Source organism: Homo sapiens, chromosome 3, assembly GCF_000001405.40.
Source record: "Homo sapiens chromosome 3, GRCh38.p14 Primary Assembly".
Lineage (NCBI taxonomy): Eukaryota > Metazoa > Chordata > Mammalia > Primates > Hominidae > Homo > Homo sapiens.
In genome coordinates this window covers 158,083,650-158,108,630 of record NC_000003.12, presented here as the reverse complement: position 1 = coordinate 158,108,630, position 24,981 = coordinate 158,083,650, and the positions used below count along the sequence as shown (strand labels likewise).

The following is a 24,981-nucleotide window of genomic DNA, read 5'->3' as shown; positions in this document are numbered from 1 at the left end:
AACACCTCAGTTTGAGAGCACCTTGAGCACCGTATCCTCTTAGCTCTCCCTATTACTGGCCCTTCTGCTAAATAATCTTAAAAACAGATTTTCATAAAGGACTAAAGTTGTATGATTATTTTCCTCTGATAATATCAGAAAGTAGTTACAAAGAGTAACCCAAGACTCAATGTGAAATTGTTTCTAAATTCGTATAACTTTGAAACTTTGTCCCTTTTGTGGTGTAACAAAACAAAAGCAAGTACTGATAACAATGTATTCATACCTAAAAGCTATAGCTGCGGAAAAATTATAGACATTAGCTCTCCTAAAAGTGGCAAAAAATGAAATGTTTTAAAAAGGGAAAACAACGTTTCTAAAAAGCATGATATACATAATCCTTAAACTCACCAAACATGAACATTTTAATGTGAGTATTGTAGTATAACATAAGGTTATATCCAGCTTCTATCTACATCTATTTGAGAAACACTAATATATTAAGTTATAATTGTGTTCTCTTTTTGCAAGTGTTTCAGGTTGTTTTGACGGAACTTCTTAAATTATCTGCTAATTTGTTTTGATGCCTTAACCAATATACGGAAGATATACATATTAATGTTCTGTAATTCCTCTTATTTTTACTAAGAGTATTAGATCCAAAATAATGATCAAGTTACCTTTAACTTCCAGAAAGTCTGCATTAATATTCAGAGTACTTGAAAATGTCCCCTAAGCCACACTTAGAGGTATATTTGTTTACACACTTAAATATAACATCATATGTAAATATTCTTTTGTGAGTATGTATTTGCATAGCCACACTTCTCACAGCAAGCCCTGTCCGGCACAATACAGACAAATGACTCAGGAATATAGATGTTCCTCTAACGTAACAAACCGTTCCGATGAAAATAGCCCAGAAATAGAATTTTAAATCGTAAGCGGGGTGGTGGGGGGGGTAGGCAGAGAGACCTTTACTCCTGGCGAGCGTCTCTTTTTTAGCTCTCCGTAATAAATGAAATTAGAGGGGGTACAAACTTAACGTCGATTTTTTTTTCAGACTCGAAGAGGGATAATCTCTTGTTTTTCAAATTAGTAAATAAACTCGGATGTTTCCCAAGATGCTAAAGAAGAAGTCCTGTAATTCACCATAGAGGGGTCCGAGTGCAGAGAGTAAGGGAGAAGGGTGGGAGTTCTGAGACCTCAGAGAGGAAACGAACGAAGTCGAGCTGTCCTTGACCGGGCGCTAAGGAAACACTTTAAAATGAGATCTGTCAGCTAACAGCTGCTGGGGAAACTTGTTAAATCGACTGGTCCCTTTTAGCGGGGTCTGTCCATAGAGGAGTCAGCTGGGCTCCAGGACACGAATAATAGAGCGAATAACACGGACCGAGGGGCGAGGAGCTTGGAGAAGACCCGGACTCAGCCTGCCTGCGAGCCGGGAAGCTCCTAAGAGAAGCTGCGCGGGTCGGAGAAGGTGCAGGCAACCCTGTCTCTGGGCAGGATGATGCTGGGCGGTGGAGCTACGGCCGGCAGGGGTGGGATTGTGAGGGAGAGGCGGGGATGCAGAATTGGGATGCGGGGTCAGGATGCGGGAATGGGATGCGGGGCCTGTAAACTGCTGGGCGGTTGATGCAGGGCAGGGACGAGGAAAAGCAATGCGAAGCTGAGCATTGCGAGGCACCCTGACTCGAAGCAAGGCTGTAGGGAAGGATGCAGTGTCGGGATACCTGACTGACTCTAAGAGCTGCGCACTTGTCAGTTTCCTCTTGGCCCCACCCCGCGGGGTCTATCCAGCTCCCCAGTGTTTAACTAAGTCGTGACACCAACGCAAAATCCACGCCTAATTAAATTAATTAGGGATTCTTGTCAATCCTGGATTAATGGCCAAGAGCACAGGCGGCAGGGGCTATCTGAAAACCTGAGCGGCCGGGGACCGGCCTTCTCTCCCCGCCCCCTCCGGTCCCCCTGTGCTGCCCTACCACTCCAGCCCCAGCCCGCCCGAACTCCAATCTCTCTCTCTCCTCTTCTCTCTCTCTCTCTCTCTCTCTCTCTCTCTCTCTCTCTCTCTCTCTCTGTTTCTCTCCTTTTCCCCTCCCCAACCCCCGGTAGAGGCGCGACTGCTACCCGGGAAGGGGGCTCACTCCGAGTTGCGAGGGGAGGTAATTTACTCAAAACAAGAGGCCGCCGTTAGGAAGTATAAATAGTGGGACTTCAAGCGCAGCGTCGCTATCAGATCTGAACTCTCCGCAGGAAGAATTGTCAAAGATCTTAACATTGAACAAGCGCGCTCCGGCAGGGAAGCATCAGTTCCCATTTCCCTCCGGCAGCCCCCGCCCCTTCTCTTCTCCTCCTCCTCCTCCCTCTCCTCTTCACCCTTCTCCCCCTCTTCCTCTTCTTCCTCCTCCTCCTCTTCTTACTTCTTTTTCTCCTTCTACTTCTCCTCCTCTTTCTTCTTTCTTCTCCTCTTTTTCTTCTTCTTTCTCCTCCTCCCTCTCCTCCCCCACCTCCTGTCCCATTGATGTGTTATTATTGGGGGGGCTGGAGCAGTAAAAAAAGAAGAAGGAAAAAAAGAGCGGGGCTCTGCTGGCAGAGGTTGAGCGCCGGGCTGACGTGCGGCGGCGATGGAAGAACTTACGGCGTTCGTCTCCAAGTCTTTTGACCAGAAAGTGAAGGAGAAGAAGGAGGCGATCACGTACCGGGAGGTGCTGGAGAGCGGGCCGCTGCGCGGGGCCAAGGAGCCGACCGGCTGCACCGAGGCGGGCCGCGACGACCGCAGCAGCCCGGCAGTCCGGGCGGCCGGCGGAGGCGGCGGCGGAGGAGGCGGAGGCGGCGGCGGAGGAGGCGGAGGAGGTGTAGGAGGAGGAGGAGCAGGCGGAGGAGCTGGAGGAGGGCGCTCTCCCGTCCGGGAGCTGGACATGGGCGCCGCCGAGAGAAGCAGGGAGCCGGGCAGCCCGCGACTGACGGAGGGTAACGACCTGACTGACCCCCGGCAGCGGTTCCCCTTCCCGCCTTCCGGACTCCTCTCGGGCGGGAGAGGACTCCGAGGCCCAGCGGGGAGGGGAGAGGGACACGGAGAGGGCCCTGGACCCCAGCTTTGTCAGCTAGAGTGATAGTGGAAGGGTGGGGGTCCGGTGGTATGCTCGGTCATGGGTGGGGTCCTAGTGTGTTGTGGGGGTGGCGTGGGGGGAAGCGTGTGGGGTTTGTGCGCGCCCTTCCCAGATGTTCCCATTCCACCGAAATGCATTTTTCACCAGCGGGAGGATGGGCCCGCAGCCCGGATGGCCCGCAGGCGGACGTGGAAGTTCGCGGGGCCGGGCTGCAGGAGGGGGTGCTGAACCAGACGGCGGGACTAAAGCTAGCCTCTAGCGCAGAGTTTGCCGGGAGGGAGAAGGGGCAGAGGTGGAAAGCTTAACCCTCCGGTCGCCTAGGTGTTTGGGGCCGCCAAGACCCCTCGAACTCCGCAGAGCCCCTGAATCTTTGGATCTTAGGGGCCAAAACTTCCCATTCTCTTTCAAGGTAGAAGGAAGCCAACGAAAGCTGAGGTCCAGGCTACGCTGCTTCTCCCGGGCGAGGCGTTTCGGTTTCTTGGTGTGTTGGGGGCGGGGGGGGGGGGCGGCGGGGGAGGTGGGGATCTATATTTACACAATTCCTTTAGTGTTTTCAATCACCCAGTACTCGGTTCTCTTAGAGCAAAAATCCTTTGGTGCTAGCTCAGTGTTAGGAAACGTCTTTATCTCAATGGCAGAGCGTTCTATACCAATTCAAAGGAGTTCAACAATAAAATTGATTTGGCACTTGGTGCCTGCAGTAACTGGTGTACTGCCATATTTTTCCAATTAAGAAAATATGTGGCATGCGTGGAATCACATATTTAAGCAAGCAATTAAGTTGTTTATGACACGGTCTGTTCCTGTTTAGATCAGTAATTGGAAATTTGGGGACAAAAATAGAGATTTTATTAAGTCTATGGATCAACTTGAAATTTGGACATCTCCTCGAAGCCCCAAAACTTTGAGTGGCATCCACTGTGTAGATGACATGTAATAGACAAAGCCTTCCCACCTCATTGGCAGAATTTGAAGGGTGTGTTTTCATATTTAAATTTCAATACAATATCAGTAAAAATACTTTGCTATTAAATTGGCCCATAATGTTTACTATAATGTTCCTTCCTAAAGAAAGGACAAATGTCCACAAAACTAACTCTGAGAACTAGAAAATACGGCAATATTTAAGATCACCGTAGCTAGAATGCCCGGCAGGGCCGAGATCTAGCGACTCTTCTTCCTCCAAACCAGCACCAGGTCTTCCTAAATTTGTAAAGTGGTGGAGTTACCGTCAAGGTGCCCAGTGCAGCCTCCCGGCCATGAGTCCACAACTACAGGCCCGAACTACAGGTTCGCCAGCGCGCCTGACGGCGAGGTTCAGGTCTGAACCCCCGGCGGGCGCAGTTCCTGGGATTGTTGATTTCCAAGCTCAGGGCAAGTATTAATTTCTCTGCAGACCGGCTCTTCCGGAAATGATTTTTAACACCCATGCTGGCCTGGATCCTGCGCTGGGAAGAACTGCAAACAGCCTCGACTATCTAAACTCAGCTTTGACTTCTTAAAACCCGGAGTCTCTGATTCGGGCGCAGAGGATAAAGGTTCCAGGGGGATATATATATGGTGGCTGTATATGCTCACACTAGAAGAGCTCCTGTTTTTAAAGGGAGGAGAAGGACAGGAAAGTGGCAACGGATGTGTGCAAACCCAGAGCAGAAAAATTCATATTTTATTAAACATCCGAGCTGCTGGTTGCATGAAAAGGCTTTGAGCAACCAATAGAAACCGAGGATCGCGAATATTCCGCTTGAACCTGTTGATCTCTGTGGGTTAAGCGTTTAGGGTCGAGTCTGCGTTTCCACGAGGGAGGGCGAAGAGAGAACAGAAAGAGCGGTTGCTTTCGCCCGCCACCGGAGGCTGGTTTTCCGCCTCCTGCCTTCTGGCCCGGCTTGGGCGGCGAGCCCTTTGGGCAGCCAACATGGCGTGGGCGCCTGTGCTCGTGCGACCCCGGTCGGGCAGGCGGGACGGAGATTACCTGGCTGTCCAGGGGACCTTATGCAGGGTTTGGCCCGAGCCCAGGGGCAGCGAGGGGCGTCTGCGGATGCGGCTCCCTGTGCGGCACAACACCGGGGTCTGTTGCTCTCGCTGATACCTTTCGGCCCAATTGTTCCTAAATTAGACCAGCAAGTTTGCGGTAGGCAGAGAGCCAGCGGTGGTGAGAGCTGGCCTGAGAACGAGCCAGCCTTCTGGGAATGGCCGGTGTGAGAGGCCAGTGGGTGGCCTTGCCGCGCCCTTATGTCCAGACTTTGCTCTGTGAGAGGCCTGGCGCTGCGCCTTTGATTTCTGTGAGTGCTGCGGAGCAAGTGAGTGCGAAAGTGAGTGGAAACCATTTGGTGTTTGCTGGGGAAGGCCGGTGACTGGGGGGTGAATAGTGAGGCGGTGAGTCGAGGTACGTTTGTGAAGGAGGTGGTGGATGACTGCCCACCTTGCCCCAGGCGGCCGCTCAGACTTGACCTTTGCGCTTCTCCGGGATATTCTTCCTCCGGGTGGGTTGAGAAGCCGGACCAGGATTCCACGAGGGGGAAGGATTCTCTATTCTTTTTTGCGACAAATCTGGTAACAGGATTTGCTGTGCTGTTTTCGTCCGTGTGTGTGTGCGTGTGTGTGTGTGTTCGTGTGGATGCACGTGTGGCCCCGCTGGGGTGCCCCCTCCAGTGTCCCCGGAGCTGAAAGATCGCAAAGAGGATGCGAAAGGGATGGAGGACGAAGGCCAGACCAAAATCAAGCAGAGGCGAAGTCGGACCAATTTCACCCTGGAACAACTCAATGAGCTGGAGAGGCTTTTTGACGAGACCCACTATCCCGACGCCTTCATGCGAGAGGAACTGAGCCAGCGACTGGGCCTGTCGGAGGCCCGAGTGCAGGTACCCAGCTGCCAGGAGGTCGAGGGCCCAGGGAGCAGAGAGAGCCTGGGGTTGGAAAGAGGCTTGGGGGACACACTCGGGAGGTGGTGCTTCTAGTGTCTGGTGTAAGATGAGAAGGAAAGAGATATCTTTACTAGAGGTCTTATTTTCCAAAGTAGATCTTAGTCCTATAGCACTCCCCTCCTTTTTTTTTTTTCCATCCTAACATATGTTCCCAGAAGAAGAAAGCTGTGCTGGGCTTTCTCCCAGAGTTTCTATAAACCACACCCCCCTTGCCTCGCACTGGCTTTAATGTGGTTTAATCCTAATGGGCCTACTTTTATAAGGCTTAAAAAAAAATCCCACAGAAAACGTTTTATCTCTGGATGCCTTAAAAGTTCCAAAGAGTATTTTGTTCTCTGGAGTTGGATTTCCTTGAAAGTCTGCTCTGCAGGGTCTAGGTTTGTCAAGCGGATATCCCAATTAGGTTTATAGATGTGCAGACTATAAAGAAAATTAGTAACTGTTAAGTGCAGAAATTTACAGTCTGCTGTTAGCGGTCGATCTCAAACTGTGTGTGAAATAGCGGAGAAATAAACGCATTTTGGTCACTCTTTGTTCATTCATTTAACCAAGGCAACGAAACTGACCCTAAATACATTAGATTTTAAAACAAACCACATATATTAGTATTTATATTTCCAAAGCCTGCCCTCCAGCACGTGCCATACCCAATGAAGTTAGGACTGAAACAGATTTTCTTTATTGGTTGTGGAGGCAAATGTAATAGCAAAAATAGGCTTTGGGGGCATTTAAAGGAGCAAATTGTGTACATTCACATACACATATCCTTCTAGCTTTAGGGGGAACAAATTTAAATGTTTCAGATTGTATTTCCGCTCAGATAATAAAATAGAATAAAATGATAGTTATTATTGGTTTGAACACATGGAGCAGTTTTAGGCCCGCACATCTGCAGCTGTTACAAAGTATCGCTGTAACAGATACTCTTTCGGTCTCTGGGCACAGAGACCACCATCTGTAGCGAACTATGCACAATTCTTAAGGGGCTTCCCCACATCTTGTAACAGGATCAGGAAAAAAAAAAACAGAGCAGTCACGTTGAAGAGGAAAAGTAATAATAGGCTGCCTTGGTCATCACAGCATCAGCAGCAGAGCCTTCCTTTTTAAGCCTCTCCTGCTTCGCTCTGTGCACTGAGATCTCCAGAGGCTCAGCAACCCCTTAAAAACATGATGATAATTATTACAGTTATGATTATTAGTATCTTAATTCCAACTCTTCTAGGGGAAAAAAAGGCAAGAAGCCTCAGGCCATGTGAATTACACAAAGGATGCCACCCTGGCACAAAATCCACCCTCTGTTGTACTAAATAGCAGAGAAATTTTTGAAGATTTACATTGACTATGACACTTGCTTTCAAAAACATACCAATGAAAGCTCTGAAGCAGTATTTTTACTTTAATGGGGTTTTAAAAACTTTAATTTGTGAGTCAATCAATATGCTTTATTATTGAAAGTGGAATACAAAAGCAAGCTTTATTTGAATTTTAAAAAATCTGTCATACTGCCTGTAAAAGTTGTCAAGTTTAAGCAGGTAACATCCAGGAGAACAAAGTACCTAAGAGTTACTTGCTTTATATATACTTCATTCTCCTTTCGCTGAGTGCTCTTCTTTTTTTCTCTTAAGAAGTGAACTTTATTGTTGTTTCATACTTTTATTTACATTTTAGTTATTTTCTAGATGTTTTCCTACTATCCTAACTGCAAACAGTGGCTTTTTCTAAAGAAGCAAATTAGATTATCATGATAATGGTGCACAATTATTCTGCTACTGTGTTTCACTCTGCTGCACAGCAGAACAGAGAAATTCTAAACTTCTTTGTAGTGAGGCTTTTATGACACTAATTACCTCTCCCCAACCCTTACAACTCCTTCTCCGCAAAGGAGTCATTATTTGCTCTGGTGTTTGGTTTTTCTTTAAGATGAAGCTAATTAACATTACAGGCTATTAATGAACACATTCTTCTCAGGTCTTAACTGGGCAAATATCTAAACCATTATCATGTTGGTATCAGGTACCAAGCAGAGTTTTAGGCCATGGGGACTCTGTTATGTGAAAAGATGAAATCAGGACTAATAGTAATCTATCTTGTGAAAGTCTATAAAATCTATCTTTCTATTTCTGTAGTTAATTTACATGTTTAACTTTGGAATTTGAGGCTGTTTTATACAATTCAAAGATTGCTTGCTGTATCTCCCAATTCTTGTCTAAACCACGACTCTTTTCTCTTTGTACTTTTGTAATTTAAAAAAATTTTTAGTCATAACATCTAGGTTTTATTTTTTTTCCCCCTCCAACCTATAGGTTTGGTTTCAAAATCGAAGAGCTAAATGTAGAAAACAAGAAAATCAACTCCATAAAGGTATGCTTCTTATACAAGGAACATTTGATAGTCTGAGCAAAGAGAGAAGTAGTGAATATTACTATTACAATGACAGAAAAAAAGGAACCTCAAAAATGACAATAGTTCTTGACTTAATAATCTTCAAAGGCTGTTAATGGAGTCCTAAAGTTTGGGAGTAAGTTACATTTATTTAAATTTTGGATGCAGTTTAGAAAGATAATAGTCCATTTTCAAAGGAATTCGTTCTGTCTTGTACCCTTTGGAACCCTGAAAAATGCTACAAACGTTAACCTCACATTATTTTTCTCTTGTACTTTTTACAGGTGTTCTCATAGGGGCCGCCAGCCAGTTTGAAGCTTGTAGAGTCGCACCTTATGTCAACGTAGGTGCTTTAAGGATGCCATTTCAGCAGGCAAGTACAGCCTAGTTTCAAGCTGTTTTTAAATATGAAAATACCTGAATGTTTGCTTGAACTGTTGAACATCACCTGTCTCTGAGCCCAGATGTCAATGTCTGCATAGTTGGAGAATCATTTTGAGATGATATAGTGGACCCACTACCCTTTAAAAACCTATACGGTATTAAAGGCCTGAATGCCTAGTCCCTTCTGTCCTCATGGGAATCCCTGAAGGGGCCTGGGGGCAGTAACTGGTCCTTTAAAAATACACTAAAGATTGCCCTTAGAGAGAGAGGAAGGAAAAGCCTTTTGATTAAGATTTTGTCAAATCCAATACAGAGGTTAGTCCTAAGGTATTTCTAAGGCAACCCTCTAGATACTTTTCTAGGTATTTTCTACCTCTTAGTCACATTAAATAACTCTGACAGAAGAAAAATAAACACAAGTACTCCCAGCTCATACTTTTGTTTTTTCGTTCTTTTGTTTTTAAATCTGTTTCTGCAAACAAAGCTTCATCTCTGGTAAAGAGAGAAGTCTTGGTCTTCCCAGGGCTGCCCTGCCTTTGCAATCCCTTAGCCATAAAGAAACCTTTAAGAGTACATTTTAAAAGGACAGCCTGCAGCAATGATTTAATCCTGGGAAATCCCAGTGCTCTGAACTCCCCACTTTCCAAGCCTGAGGGCGAAATCCTTTCCCAACCAGTGTCTGACCTTCCCTATCCTCAGCCAGGACCCCTGCTTGGCATGCCTGTGATGTCATGAATTAGCTCTCAGTCTCCAGTGACTTGGACCGGGGAGACAGATAGGTGTGACCATGAATTGAGAGTCGGTGTTAGGGAGATCTTAGCTCTCTTGGTGCCACAGGACTCTGGCATCCTGATGCTTGGCTTTGGAAACAAGAGAGAATGACTGAAGAAAGAGGGAGGGGTGACTTTAAAAGGAGACCTTTACTACTCAAAAGGTAATCTTTGGGCCAGCAGCAACAACACCGTCTGGGAGATTGTTAGAAATTCAGAATCTCAGGCCCCAACCTAGACCTTGCGAATCAGAATCTGAATTTTAACGAGATCCCTGGGTAATTGTTATGGCAATAAAGGTTAGAAGTACCGACTCACAATTGTGCCTATTGTGGTGAAGATGGAGTAACTTCCCTGAATGACATTAAAAAGTTGCGTAGTTTGCTTGTTGATACTCCGTTGTTTTGGTAGTGGGGTAAGAGATGCATGGCAGCATCAAGAGAAGAGGGTAAGGGTCCTCACCCGCAGTCTTTCCAATATACCATTTCAGCCCAGTTCCCAGGGGAGACGGCCACATTCCTGCAGAAGGGGGTTCCCGGGGTCCGGGGAAATAAGCCTACCCTAAGCGAGTTTCGGAGACCCAGGGGACACTGGAGTATCCATGTGGAACCCCAGATTCAGCAACAGGCTGAGAAGGTCACTGTCGGAACAAGATGCACAGCCAAATGCCCTCTCCCCGTGCCCAAACACAACCCAACTCTCTCTCTGGCCAAGCTGGACGCCGTTAATGCTCTGTTTCTATTCTGTTGTCACCCTAGGATAGTCATTGCAACGTGACGCCCTTGTCCTTTCAGGTTCAGGCGCAGCTGCAGCTGGACAGCGCTGTGGCGCACGCGCACCACCACCTGCATCCGCACCTGGCCGCGCACGCGCCCTACATGATGTTCCCAGCACCGCCCTTCGGACTGCCGCTCGCCACGCTGGCCGCGGATTCGGCTTCCGCCGCCTCGGTAGTGGCGGCCGCAGCAGCCGCCAAGACCACCAGCAAGAACTCCAGCATCGCCGATCTCAGACTGAAAGCCAAAAAGCACGCCGCAGCCCTGGGTCTGTGACGCCAACGCCAGCACCAATGTCGCGCCTGTCCCGCGGCACTCAGCCTGCACGCCCTCCGCGCCCCGCTGCTTCTCCGTTACCCCTTTGAGACCTCGGGAGCCGGCCCTCTTCCCGCCTCACTGACCATCCCTCGTCCCCTATCGCATCTTGGACTCGGAAAGCCAGACTCCACGCAGGACCAGGGATCTCACGAGGCACGCAGGCTCCGTGGCTCCTGCCCGTTTTCCTACTCGAGGGCCTAGAATTGGGTTTTGTAGGAGCGGGTTTGGGGGAGTCTGGAGAGAGACTGGACAGGGGAGTGCTGGAACCGCGGAGTTTGGCTCACCGCAAAGCTGCAACGATGGACTCTTGCATAGAAAAAAAAATCTTGTTAACAATGAAAAAATGAGCAAACAAAAAAATCGAAAGACAAACGGGAGAGAAAAAGAGGAAGGGAACTTATTTCTTAACTGCTATTTGGCAGAAGCTGAAATTGGAGAACCAAGGAGCAAAAACAAATTTTAAAATTAAAGTATTTTATACATTTAAAAATATGGAAAAACAACCCAGACGATTCTCGAGAGACTGGGGGGAGTTACCAACTTAAATGTGTGTTTTTAAAAATGCGCTAAGAAGGCAAAGCAGAAAGAAGAGGTATACTTATTTAAAAAACTAAGATGAAAAAAGTGCGCAGCTGGGAAGTTCACAGGTTTTGAAACTGACCTTTTTCTGCGAAGTTCACGTTAACACGAGAAATTTGATGAGAGAGGCGGGCCTCCTTTTACGTTGAATCAGATGCTTTGAGTTTAAACCCACCATGTATGGAAGAGCAAGAAAAGAGAAAATATTAAAACGAGGAGAGAGAAAAATAATATTAACACAAAAAAATGCCACAGACAATGATTTCTCTGAGAAATTATTATGGCAAAACTGTCTGGACTGCTGACAGTAAATTCCGGTTTGCATGTTACTTGTATTCCATTGATGGTGTGTCTCCTCCCACCCCCTTATCTCCCATGCACTCACTCCATTTTCATCTTCACTATGAAAAACAATACCAAAAGTATCTGGAAATTGATATATATATATCCATATATATATATCATATATTTGCCATATATATATATATATATATATATATATATATATATATATATTTGCCCTGTCTTTGATCCTGGGGAACAAAAGAAAAAAGTCAGAAAGGGAAAAAATTACACTCATTGTCCTAAGAAGACAGAGGTGGGCAGAATATGTGGGGAAAGGAAAAAGAAAACAAGACCACCAAATGAAATAATGAAGGTACAGCGCCTCGCTGTGCCAGACACAGTAGGCGCTCAATCAGTATTAGTTCCCACCATTCCCCTTTTCTTGTGTTCCTTCTTGTTGGTTTCCTGAAGTCCTATTTGAAGACAGTGGTTTATTTCCCCCTCTCTATCCCGTCAAATTCACCTTAAATAACACCCAGCTAGATACAGGCACTAGGTTTGTGTAAGATATGTTGATACACACGAACAAAGTTTATTTTGACTATAATGTGTGGACTGACTTTCAACATTTGCATTTTATCTCACAAAGGTGTATCTATTCAAGTAACCTTTTTTTTTTGTTTGTTTGTTTCTTTTTTGTTTTTTTTTTTCTTTTGGTTGTTTGTTTCAATTCATGTAGCTATTTAAACTGGGATACCTTGGACTAAGCCAGTCTGTATCCCAATTCGCTAGCAAGCCTAAGTTTGTGGGGTTTTGTTTTTGTTTTTGTTTTACCTTCTAATTTACAAGAAAGAGGAAAAGCTCTTCTAACTGAACTTTGGTATGCGGTTGAGCTTTGTAACTATTTGTTCTCCATGAAAACAAAATTATTTATATTTGACATATTTTTTTCTAGTGTATTAAGTTATTTTAAACAAAAGATGTTATCTCATGACGTGTTGTCAGTACAAAATGTGTCGCCTCCAATTCTGTTAAACCTTTTAAATAAGTGCCAAGTTATTAATTGAAGACACTTTGCGATCAATTGAATGAAAATATCGTTTCATTTGATGGGGTTCGAGTCATCTTTGTTCCTGTTACTATTAAAATATCCGGGATAGTCTTTCCCTTTTGATTAATGCGTATCACTCTCTCGAATATACCAACTTGGAAAAGCGCTTGCCTCTGCTCTTACGTGCCGCAGTCAAGGGGCAGTAAGAAGGGTGGCTCTGTGGCTGTCGTTAGCGCTGAGCGCATTTCCGCCGGCCCCCTCCATTTTATCCACCCAGCATAGAAACAGGGTTATACCAAATTAATGAAAGAACAGATAAGAAGTAAAATAACATAGGATAGAGTAACTTCCTTCCCCAAGATGGACTCTCGTTATTCGTTTTGCTATAATTCCAGTCTTTATCTGGGGACACTTTTGGGAGGAAGGAAGGAGGGATCCTGCGGAGCGAAATCAACCTGGGTTTGGTATGGCATAATCGACAATCAGTCCCAGTTCGTTGACCCTCTCTGGAGCGGGGCAGGTGCTGACTTCGGAGCGGGAAAAGAGCCGCAAAGGCGGGCAGGCCAGGGCACTGTGGAGGGAGGATTCCCCATCTGACACTCCTGTTTAGGGTTGGCTGAAGCAGCTTCTTCATTGGTTAAATTTAGAAGGTGGAAGCCAGAATCGGGTTTAGGAAAAGCCTGGCCTTGAAAATAATGAGGAGCTCTCTCTCCCCATGTCGTGGCCCCCTTCTGGAAGAAATCCCACTAGTAAAGCCCAAAGGTGCTGCCTGTGTGGGGATAGTTGGAGACTTTGAAGACTCGGCCCTGACCATGTCCAAGGCAGGAACTTTCCTTCCCGCGCGGGCTCTTGTGATGACGGGACCTTCCGCAAAGACTGAAAGAGTCCTGAGCGTCCCCTGGGACCCCCCACCCTCGTGCTGGAGGGTGCGTAAAACCCCTGCCAAAGCCCCACATCCTCCAGCAGTGTTCCCCACCACCCCCACTTGGCCCTCTCCCAGGTCTTAGCTCGTATTCAAAGCTGTTCCTCAGCATAGACGTGGGCGATAGGTTTCTTTCTTTTAACTTTCAAAGACCACTGAACAGGATTTGGGCCGTATTCAGTGCGCAGGCCTTGCGGGTCTCCTGGTTGATGAACGTCGGTAGTTTTTAATAATAAACATCTGCCTGCGGGCATGGTACGCCCTGAAGCAGCCAGGCCATCCGCCGTGGTCCTGTGGCCTCCAGCGAGCTCCAGTCGGCGCCGGGGCCGGGGGTCCTAACAGGCAGGCTCCAAGCTCCAAACCCTAATCCTAACCCAGATCCCAACACGGGTTCGGACCCTGGAGACCCTGGAGCAGGGGAGATGGTGGCTCCCTCTCGGGGCCAGTCTGCCCCAAGCAGCGGAGCGCGGGGGAAGCCCGAGGTCAAAGGAGGCGGTGCGTCCAGGCCCTGCTGGCGGAGGCGCCGGGTATCGGTACAGAGGCTCAGTGACGCGGCGTGGGTGGGTCGGGAATGTCCCGTGCGATAGGAGCCAGGTGGGTTCGGCGCGGAGACCCGCGGGAGTCGGGCCGCGGCGGGAGCGCGGTAGGCGGAGAGGCCCGCGGAGGCAGCCAGGTCCGGCGAGAAAGGCCAAAATTTCTTGGCCCCATTCGCAGTGCTCCACTCGGGCACGGCCTGTGGGACCAGTGCATCCGGGGAGCTCGCGGCGCCCTTGCCTCCTCTTGCGTCTGCTCCCCCAAGACTAACGGAGGACAGAGGCCGCTTTCCTTGGCCCTGTGGAGTCTCGCCCTTCGGGTCCAGACTCCCGCAAGGCCTGCTCTCCCGGAATGCCAGTGTCCAAACTCTGGGGCAGGCGCCTCGGTGTGTGAACAAGAGTTCCAAACTCGTAGTTCCCCGAACCATCCCAAGAAGGGGTCTGAGGAATTCACTTTAAATTTAAATAAGGCCCAACATGCTTGTAGTTTGGGTCGAAACTCAATAATCCTAATATAATTAATAAAGGACACCCCCATCCTCTGCTCCCCAAATCTTTTGGGCATGCAAAACCTTCCCGAGTTGCAAAATCAATGACTGGGAAAAACTGAGTTAAAAGAGATTGTTTAAGACATCATTAGTGTTAAGGACCCTATGATACAAGAGACACAGTAAGATAGTAAGATCGGTGCCTTTGCTTGGAGCTGAACTGATGTACATCTATTTTGAGTTTTTCCCCAGATTTATAACTTTTTTGGGTCCTCAGATGGTAATACTTTAGTATAATGCAATGCTCAAATTTCGGAACTATTTTGATTTCTGAAAAATGCCTCTTTGGCTTCAGCGACATAGGATCCTGTTTTTTCTTCACAAATCAGTTTACATCATAAATTGCAAACATTTGCAATAAGATCTCAAGATTGTTTATTTTACATAACCTCAAGCACTTGACTATGTTAAACACCAGTACAGAAAATCTGTGAAATCAGTTTAATGTGTGTGAGGGAATTAAAGGATCACTCATTTTCATCACATAAACAAAGCATTTAAGATTGTTTTGATTGTCAGTCTCCCAATTTTTAGTCATACAACTGACTATTAATTTAAGAGTCATTCTGTGTAAAAATAATTACTGAGGTTATATCCTGCTTTAATTAAATATTTCTGGGCAGAAGAAAATGGTATTGTACATTGGGAAGTGGGGGATTGTTTTTAATATTATATTATTTTAGTTCAAACGGAAATAAAAGTCTGCAAATTCCAACGGGGAAAAAAGGCCTGAAATGGTTTCTTAATATGCCATTAAAACAGTTAGCCAAAATACATTAAAGCAATATCACAAACCCAGAAATAATAAATATGTCATTCTAATGAGAATGTTAACTTACAGATAATTTATTCAAGGTAGTTTTTACATTTCACATGGAATGTCTTATTATGACCCGCTTGATTACTGTGATGCTTGTTCTTCAAAATCTAATTTATATAGGCCTGCAATATACATAATTCATAACTCCTGTTGATATACGTATACACACCCCAAATTTTAAATCTTTACAGTATGTTTGGATGTTTACTAGCATGTTTTCAAGATGACGAAAATAAAAACATAAAAAGTGTTAAACATCATATTGAAAGCAAGTGCTTGCCCTGCCCTATGCCTGAAGGCAAAGTAGCTGAAAATGAAAAAATTAAAAAGGATTAGATAATTTTCAAGCTCAGGCATTGAGTGAGCACTGAAATATTTCAGACAAAAAAAAATCTTGTATAAGAAATCTGAAAATCCCAAGAAAGACTTACAGATGTGAGTGTATAACACTTCTGATGCCTAGACAATTTTTTTTTTGGTGTCTAATTCATGAAACAAAAAATCCTCGAGTCTCGGGGTATTTTGTTTTGGGTATTTTACATGTCAGTCAAGGTAACCATTACATATGCCTTCGGTGCAGGAAAGTTTAGTATAATACGCGGAGTTCTATTGGCATGAGGAAAGGTTTTAGAATATAATCAAATACATCAAATAGGGAGGAGTAAACATGCTTCTTTTCTTGCTGAACAACTCCTCATATGTCCTGAGTAAGGATCTTTGTAGACTCTTATTCAAGCAGAATAGTGTATGTTTAAGAGCACACACTGTGGAGCTATGCTTCACTGCTGGATTCAAATTTCACTGCTACTGTTTACCAGTCCTCTGATTTTGGACAAGTTAATCTCTCTGTCCCTCAGTTTCCTTATCTGTAAAATGTGGATAAAAATAGTGTCTATCTCATGGAATGGTTAGGAGGATTAAATGAGTTAATATTTGTAAAACCCTTAGAACAATGCCTTGCATATGTATACTAAGTACTAAATAATAATTACTTTTATTAAAAGGCCAATAGACATTGACCTTTGTAATAAAAACCTTAAAAGAAAAAAACAATAAAGTGTTGCAAGACAAGAAAAGCTTTCTCTTGTGGGCAAGAAGAAAACATTGCCTGTTAGTTTGTGATTCTGGCTAATTGCTTAGCCTGTGTGAGCCTCATCTAGAAGATGTGACAATTGTCACAATGTAGCAGTGTAGTTAGGAGGTTTACCTAGAAGAGCAATTTATAGGTTGTGTGTCTCTATATGCAAGATAGATAACATTGTTACTCTGCCATGCACAGTTAATAAGGTGAGATTTCAGGCATGGCACTTGTCCTCGAGGAGCTTACCATCTGGGCAAAACAGTTCATAAATACACATGATAGTGCTAGGAAGCATGTGCTAAATGCACTTGCTTAAAGGTATTAGGACACATAATCTGTGCATCTGAATGGCCATATAACACATGTGGGCCTGTTGCCCTGGTTTTGGAAACTAAACCTTCCCTGGAAATGAGTAGTCTTATAAAGGAATGGTGAAGCGACACCCAGAGGTTAAGAAGCGCACTTTGTTAGGACTAAATGTATACCATATGTTGTCGTGGTTTGTGTTCCATAGCACCATCTGCATTTTCCTTGGCTGCCCATGTTTACCGAGCATTAGCAGCAAAACGCCAAAAGATATAAAGGCTGCTGACCAAGGATCTTTAATAGCAGTTTGAAAACACATATAAAACAAAGAAAGGAATGTTTAATTATTACTATAGGGACCTGTAAGATGAACAACTGAGTTACAATTACAGAGTAAATTAAGAAGGACTTCTTTCTAATGTCTAAATTTAGGTATATCACTAATATTGTCCCATATTTTATATAATATCTATGAAGAGCCAAGTACTTTTTATACATCTTTATTTGGGATGTGTTGTCATAGTATACGGCTAATTTTTAGAGGCAGATATTCTTGACTTCAAATCTTTGCTATACCAACTATTAGATGTAAAGTTTTAGGTCATTTCTTAGCCTCCTAAAATCTATGACCTCTTAGTGTCCTGCAGCACACACCTTGCCAATTATTGTGAGGATCAAATAAAAATAAGTTATGTAAGGTGCCTGGTACATAACAGGTTTCAACAAATGTACATCTCCTTTCTACTTCCATTATTTACCTTTTAAACTACTGTAACATAGAGAGGATTTTTAATTTACCTTTTTGTGATTAGAAGCAGTTTTGAAAAACTTTGGGAGGTGGTGTGCACTTTAATTCCAATCTCTTATTGTAAGTATTGATAATGTGTGTTTATATTGTGTGCACTGGAGTTTGGAACAAAGCTCTCTTCAAATCTTGCAAAAATTTTTAGAGATTTTGAGGGACTGTGATTTTAGATCTGCCCCTTTGTGTAGAACAGAAAGGACTCTATCTTTCCCCCCGATAACTTGAGGACGTTCTTAATGTGCAGGTTACCCAGAGTCTCTGACCTTCAGTCCTCTCTATTCTGGAATGTCAGCATACCCATGGAGCCCTGGCATTAACTCTCTAGTCACTTTGATATTAGATTGATTGTCCTTCTGTTGCATATTTATTGAATACATTTCTATGCTTCCGTGGAAAGGAAGAATAAAATAAACTACCCTTAAAAATGACTTCAAAAAAGTCTATTAGTCTATCCAAATTTTCAGTACTTGTGCTACATTGTTTTGTATTATGTTTACTGGCATTACTGGCTTAAAATGTAATTATCTGTCTTGTGTGCAATATATTTATTTACTGAAATTCTCACTTGTCAGCAGTTGTGTTTCTTTTAAGGCTTACATAATTTCCATTAAAATTAGTCTTGCCCAGTGCTTGCCTAAAAGGGCCCAGGATTCTCCCTGGGTGAGTTTCAGTTCTAGACTTCCTTTAAAAACTTTTTAGACAGGTGAGATTAGGTAAGAATAGCCATCAAAGGAAGCTTTGGAAAGAAAAAGGCAGGTCCTCTGATTTGCCTTGGTAGTAACAGAGAAGTGTGTTAGACAAAATAATGCCCCCTCCAAAGATATCCACATCCTGATCCCTGTAACCTGTAAATATGTTGGCTTACATGACAAAGGGGGATTAAGTTTGCAAGTCAGTTGACCTTAAAATAGGGAATGTATCCTGGATTATTTGGGTGCATCCCCTGTAATTACGTGGGTACTTAAAAGAGGGAGGCCAAAGAGGAAAGTCTCAGAGAGATGTGACTAAGGAAGAATGTTCAGAGAGATGCAAAGTTTCTGGCTTTGAAGCTGGAGGAGGCAGGGAGTGCAAGTGGCCTCTAGAAGATGAAAAAGGTAAGGCAAGAAATTCACCCAGAGTGTGCAGAAGGAATGCAGCCCTTTCTATACCGTGATTTTAGTACAGTGAAACTTGTGTAGGAATTCTAGGCTACAGAACTGCAAAATAATCAAGTTGTATTGTTTTAAGACACTAAATTTATGATAATGTGTGGTAGCAGCAATAGAAAACAAATGTAGGCAGTTTCTGAATTGTTTATATGTGTAAGAGCTTCTTGTCATTTTTTAATGCCAGGGGACCTTCTAAGTGTTCAGTAGCAAGAGTCCCCTCAAAACTCAGGGCCAAGATATTTAGCCATACCCTCGAGTACGCTGTTACTCAGCCATACAGATTTCTACATGCCATATAGCAGAATTCCCACAAATCTCTCATTATAAAATGAAGCCTCCTATAGAGGAAATCTGCAAAATTATGTATATTCTTTTATAAAAAGTGAGTCGGCAATGGAAATCTTTGTCTTGTTTTATTCTCTTTGTTCTTATTCCTTCTTTGTCATCTTCTGCTTATTATTATTTACCTTTTTTGGTATTTAATATAAAGAAAAGGACTGTTAGTTTCAAGCTCTGAAGTTCTTTGCTAATGCACTGACTGAAAGGGAACAGCCTGGGCAATTGAGCTTGTCTGTCAAGTTGGTCAAGGTGGAGAGTAATGTGGTCTGGGGTTCCCAGAGCCCATTGGACCTTTGACCTTTTCTGTTGAGACTATTGATCTAGGTTAATAGTCAGTACCAGTTATGCTGTTGGAAGGGTTGTGTACCTGTATGTGATTCCTCATTGAGTACAAATAAGGCTCTGACTAACTCAGAGGGTAATTGGTCCTTTTTGTAGTTTTCCAAGATCAGGGTGGGGAATTAGAATAGATAGGCTTTGACAGGCAAGGTGAAGATTCATTTTTGGAATGTCTGCCATTGTATCAGTGACAAAACAATGGATCTGCACACTGAGTTGATTATCTCTTTCATACCATGAACTCTGTTCACCAGAGAGCTGCTCATAGAATCAAGTGGGGTTAGGAATTTCTGGATAACATGATAACTCCTGAGATTAGTGGCACAGTGAGATGGGTTTAGCCTTGTCTCACTCCCTAATCCCATCCTCTAGCCCCACACTACCCCAGCCATCCCATCATCCCATGCTTCTCTTCCTACCTAATTGGGTACAGAATGAGAAAAACAGTAAGTAGGTTTGTGGACTGAATATATAAAAAGGCATGACTATGCTCTTTGACTGAAATATGGTCCAACCAGAGAGGGAAGGAAAGTCTCCCAAATAGTGTCAATTTCTATGACCCTCTCCTTCATAGCTCTTCACTACTTAAAGGAGAAGTTTTCTTTTTCTACCCACCCCATGGAAAGCTCTCTTTTTTTTTTTTTTTTTGAGACAGAATCTCGCTGTCGCCCAGGCTGGAGTGCAGTGGCGTGATCTCGGCTCACTGCAGGCTCCTCCTCCTGGGGTTCACGCCATTCTCCTGCCTCAGCCTCCCGCGTAGCTGGGACTATGGGCGCCAGCCACCTCGCCTGGCTAATTTTTTGTATTTTTGTCTTGAGCCACTTCCCATTTCTCCCAGATCATCCTTCTGTCTTCCTTCTCTCTCCCAAGTTACTCATTCTAGATGCCTAGCTGCACATAACTCATTTATTTATTTATGAAACAGATATTTATTAAATACCTACTGGGTGCTTAGACTCTTTTCCTTCTTCTGCTTTAACTGTCAGACTATCCTTTTCTGACTTCCCTTGAGGTCTGTCATTGTTGGAGGCAGTGGTAGCTGAAAGGCAGGGAAGGACATGGTTGGCATGGGATGGGGTTGGAAGGCAGAGGAAGTTGGAAGTGTAGAAAGAATAAAGAAAAGAAGACAATCAGGTAGGCTAAACTTTGGAGACTCCTACTCACCAGACCCTGTGTTATCTAAATATTAAAAGCTGCAAAAGCTACATTAGTAAAGAATAATCCTCAGAATGATTTGGAATGCTTCTGCCTTCTTCACAGAAGATATTAATTTCTCATGGCCGAGTACAAGGTATCTTTCAAAAGAGTACTGATCATTGACAAAGCACTTGGTCACCCAAGAGCTCTGATGGAGATGTACAAAGAGATTAATGTTGTTTTCATGCCTGTTAACACCACATTTATTCTGCAGTCCATGGATTAAGGAATATTTTTTGCTTTTAAGTTTTATTATTTAAGAAATACATTTTGTAAGGCTATAGCTATGATAGACAATGATTCCTCTGATGGATCTGGGCAAAGTTAACTGAAAACCTTGTGGAAAGGATTTACCATTCTAGATGCCATTAAGAACATTCCTGATTCATGACAGGTCAAAATATCAACACTAACAGGAGTTTGGAAGAAGTTGATTCTAACCCTCATGGATGACTGTGAGGGGCTGAAGACTTCAGTGGAGGAAGTCACTGCAGATGTGCTAGAAATAGTAAGATAACTAGAATTAGAAGTGGAGCCTCAAGATATGACTGAATGTATGCAATCTCATAATTAATTTGATGGATAAGGAGTTGTTTCTTATGGATGACCAAAAGAAATAATTTCTTGAGATGGAATTTATTCCTGTTGAAGATACTATGAACATTCTTGAAGTGACAATAAGGGATTTAGAATGCTATCCAACAGCATCATGTGCTACAGAGAAATTTTTTGTGAAAGGAAGGGTCACCTGATGTGGAAAACTTCATTGTTGTCTTATTTTAAGAAATTGCCACAGCAACCTCAACCACCTTCAGTAACCACCACCTTTATCAGTCAGCAGCCATCAATATACAGGCAAGGCCCTTCGTCGGCAAAATGGTTATGACTCACTAAAGGCTCAGATGATCATTAGCATTTTTAGCAAAAAAGGTATTTTTTGATTAAGGTATGTACATCCTTGTTTTAGACATAATGCAATTGTAGTCTTAGATTACAGTATAGTGTAAACATAACTTTATATGCACTAGGAAATAAAGCAATTCATATGACTCATGTATCATGATACTTTATTGTGGTCATCTGGAACTGAACACACAATATCTTTAACTATGCCTGTAGTAGGGATAGATATATAATAGGTTGTCATAAATGTTAGTGGAATGAATAAGACTGAAATGGATATGTCTAGTATTTTTTAAAGATAATTTTAGTAGAGAGAAATCTTAGCTCTCTGAGGGTGGATTTAGTGTTGGAACTAGCCAAAGGCTGTTGGCCTTAAGTCTGATGAAGAAGCTAGGGAGTATAATTTTATTATTATTATTATTATTACAAACGAAGTGTGGGACAAAAATTAAGCATGGTTGTTTTGTGATAAGACACATTTTCTTATATGGCTCATAAAGGTTTCTAAAGTTTACTGGCACTTACTTGCTTGAGGCAATTTCAAAGATGAATTCCCCAGAAACATTTTAAACTGTGACAGTATTGCTGGACTGTGTTTGGTTTCTCAGGGTGACTACTTTGAAAAACAAGGTTTATTTGTATCTGTAAGTTCTGGTATCTATGTTAAAAAAAATAAGAATCATTATTTTATTGTCACATCTTATTTTCTGTAGTGAATTTTTACAAGCTAAATTTCACTTTATTTCCTGTGCATTTAACTCTTCTCTCTAACACTATCATTTTCAATTCTCTCCTTTGTAAGCATTGTCTCCCAATGCAGCAGCATTTCAAAATTCTATTAAAATTGTTTATTTTAAGAAGCTATTCATAAGACCATTAACTAAAACCAGATTTAACACCAATTCCAGTGGCTGATCTCTACCCCAAGTGGATATATAGCCATTTGTTAAGATCTTTTGTTTACTGATTTTCAGGCAGTTTTCAATCTGTGTGACACTGATCAGATCCAAGCCAATTTGGACTAATTTTTCAAGTCACTTTTCATGAGGCAGTGCATCGAATGCTTTACCAAGTCCAAATGTGTAACATCTGCTCTCCTTTCCCTGATAATTTTACAGCTCTCTCAAGAAGTCAACCACTTTATCAACCATGGAATGTGTTTTATAAGCCTCCATTATTATTGCCCATGATTCTGTCACCTTTTAGAATTTCCCCTCTCAACTTTATTTGCCAGGTCTTGATAAAATACTTATTAGTTAGGCATCTGATACAATTATTCTTCTAGTGGTAACACTTTGTGACTCTAGGTTCACTTGGATTAGATCTATATATAACCTTTTCAGTTATTATGATTTAAAAGATGTAAGCAATAAAATCTGTGTTAGTCATTTTTGTTCATATCCTGGGAGAGATGTTATTCTGACTTGCTGATTGGTATATGTTTTGAGGTTTGAAGTGTTCACTTACCTGCTCTTTGTCATTAGCTGTTTTTTTCTCTAGGTGCATTTCACAGTTCCCTATCTTTACCATATGTTAAATGGATATTATGCTTGCAACAGCATGCCTACAGAACAGTAAAATGTCTGTGCATGTACAGTAAGTTGACTCATGTAATCTTTGGATACAGCTTAAGCTTTTGATGCTTCTGTCATCTCACTGATATAGATGAGCTGTGCTTACTAATATTTGCTTTCAAGGGTTTGGGGAGGTAATTTCTGTGCACAGAAACTGAGAAAAGTTTTCTTCATAATTAATTTTTGAGGCAAATTCAAAAAGCTTCCATGAAAACGATGCATTTTTAAAAAATGATTTAGGCCCTGAGGTCATTGTGTTTACTAATGGAGTTTACTTAATTGAATAAATATGAAGATCTTACATTGAGTACCTTTGCATTGATTAAATGTAGTGATATTTTATTAATTTTTACACATCAGTTACTCAGTTAACAAGCTGTCTAAGAATATAATTGACATATTTGGTAGAGTCATGTAAATTAAAACATTGGTTATGATTTATCAAGGATTACCCAAGTATTAATTACCCGACAGCTAGAACACTGCTTTTGACATTCTTAAATTTCCTTTGGTTAATCTTATATATATTATAGATTAGTCAGTTTCTCCCTCTTTATATAAAATATTTAGCTTTTGATGTGTTTTGACATATGGTAAACTTCAATAAGAAGGCAGACATTTTCAGTTTTGAGAAATGTAAATATATCATTCTGTAAGAATTCCAAAATGTTGGCTATGGGACAATGGAAACCACATGTAGTTTTTCTGCAAATCTCACTATACAAGTAACTGCTTTCAACACATCTTTTCTGTCTCCAGTTTTAATACCAACTACTTGATTAAATGTCAAATGGAGCAAAGGCCATTTATGTCAGGCATCAGTAATATGCATATTGTTTCCAAAGGATGAAAAACATTTAATTTTGAATATTTGCCACTCTTTTGTGGCTCAGTGTAATATGCCGTATTCCCAATACTGCCTATTTATAATCTGAAATTTTAGAGTTGGGGATTTATCAGCTGAATAAAAGCTATGATGTTTTGTTTTTAACTGCTAAATGGCAACTTTACATTCTTTCTATTAGATCCATAATTTAGAATATAAATTTTGGAGATATGTTCAAAGTAGTGTTTTTTCTAAAATCAAGATTAGGTTTTTTTTTTTCTGTTATCAATGTTATGTTTGTAAATATTATAAATGTTCTGTTCTTTAATTATAACTACTCACGAATTACAATAGCACTTCTATTTCTATATATAAAAGAAACTTCCAGCATTTTAAATGTGAATGGAAGAAATTCACATTTATATATGGCATATGCATTTTTAAGCTTAAATTTTAATTTCACTTAAAAGGTAAGTCTGAATCTAGAAAGCTGTTCCTAAGGATAAATGATTCAAACTTAGTAGAATATACCTTATAAATGAATGTATGTGTCTTTGGAATCAATGATTCTAAGTCAAGAAATGGTATTCTGTCAGAGGTGAAACAGAGATACTCACGGAGTAAACATGTTTAGGTTTTGCTTGCTTTGTATAAATATTTAAAATGATGCATCAATATATATTAAATGAAGAAGAGTGCATTATTCTTTTTGCATGAGGAAAATCAGAAGTCTGCAGTTTTCTTTTTATAAAAATATGGCAATTCTGTTTCTCAACATGCCAATCATACACATGAAAGTTTTTTTAAAAGGTCAATATTCTCTGTAGTTCCAAGTTTCTCAATTTATATCGATACATTTTGGTTGCTATGTTGTCATTTACAGATATCATATGTGTTGTTTAAAATTTTCTTTCTGCTAAATTCATGAATCATTCATATAAACATGCAAATATTAAAATAATATATTCCCTTCTAACATGTGACTTTTGTATTTCTGAGACTTCAGAATTTTTTCCTCATTAATTATGAGGTAAAGTACATTAAAAGATGCATTGTAGAAGCATTGTGAACAGATGTGG

General features: G+C 42.3%; 1 protein-coding gene across 7 annotated transcripts, besides 4 other annotated features; it reads left to right on the top strand.

Annotated features, from left to right (window-relative positions):
* Positions 1,520 to 2,023: an enhancer, noted in NCBI's record as "H3K4me1 hESC enhancer chr3:157824397-157824900 (GRCh37/hg19 assembly coordinates)". NCBI's record gives its function as "activates a minimal SCP1, AML or CMV promoter by ChIP-STARR-seq in naive H9 embryonic stem cells {active_cell/tissue: H9 hESC(naive)}" and the evidence as "EXISTENCE:reporter gene assay evidence [ECO:0000049][PMID:30033119]".
* SHOX2 (SHOX homeobox 2) lies at positions 2,211 to 12,726 on the top strand. 7 transcript variants are annotated; one of them, XM_006713727.4, is made up of 6 exons: positions 2,211 to 2,952; positions 3,502 to 3,573; positions 5,745 to 5,953; positions 8,320 to 8,377; positions 8,683 to 8,771; positions 10,347 to 12,726. In XM_006713727.4, the coding sequence occupies exons 1-6, from the start codon at positions 2,607 to 2,609 to the stop codon at positions 10,602 to 10,604; spliced, it is 1,032 nt and encodes a 343-aa protein (XP_006713790.1). In that variant the 5' UTR covers positions 2,211 to 2,606; the 3' UTR covers positions 10,605 to 12,726. The 7 variants fall into 7 exon arrangements, with proteins under 7 accessions (XP_006713790.1, NP_001157150.1, NP_003021.3 ...); NM_003030.4 differs by having other exon boundaries at positions 2,468 to 2,952; positions 10,311 to 12,620; XM_006713728.4 differs by lacking the exon at positions 2,211 to 2,952 and adding an exon at positions 4,489 to 4,630 and having other exon boundaries at positions 3,190 to 3,573.
* Positions 2,772 to 2,821: a silencer, noted in NCBI's record as "silent region_14847". NCBI's record gives its function as "represses an Ori minimal core promoter by ATAC-STARR-seq in GM12878 lymphoblastoid cells {active_cell/tissue: GM12878}" and the evidence as "EXISTENCE:reporter gene assay evidence [ECO:0000049][PMID:35858748]".
* Positions 5,098 to 5,705: an enhancer, noted in NCBI's record as "H3K4me1 hESC enhancer chr3:157820715-157821322 (GRCh37/hg19 assembly coordinates)". NCBI's record gives its function as "activates a minimal SCP1, AML or CMV promoter by ChIP-STARR-seq in naive H9 embryonic stem cells {active_cell/tissue: H9 hESC(naive)}" and the evidence as "EXISTENCE:reporter gene assay evidence [ECO:0000049][PMID:30033119]".
* Positions 10,464 to 10,633: an enhancer, noted in NCBI's record as "active region_20743". NCBI's record gives its function as "activates an Ori minimal core promoter by ATAC-STARR-seq in GM12878 lymphoblastoid cells {active_cell/tissue: GM12878}" and the evidence as "EXISTENCE:reporter gene assay evidence [ECO:0000049][PMID:35858748]".

What these genes read in the sequence shown, in the direction of transcription:
- SHOX2 (NM_003030.4), top strand. Translation starts at nt 2,607, where the DNA reads ATGGAAGAACTTACGGCGTTCGTCTCCAAGTCTTTTGACCAGAAAGTG. An exon ending in CAGCCCGCGACTGACGGAGG is followed by an intron (nt 2,953 to 3,501) that starts GTAACGACCTGA and finishes TTCTCTTTCAAG; the next exon opens with GTAGAAGGAAGCCAACGAAA. An exon ending in TAAGGATGCCATTTCAGCAG is followed by an intron (nt 8,772 to 10,310) that starts GCAAGTACAGCC and finishes TTGTCACCCTAG; the next exon opens with GATAGTCATTGCAACGTGAC.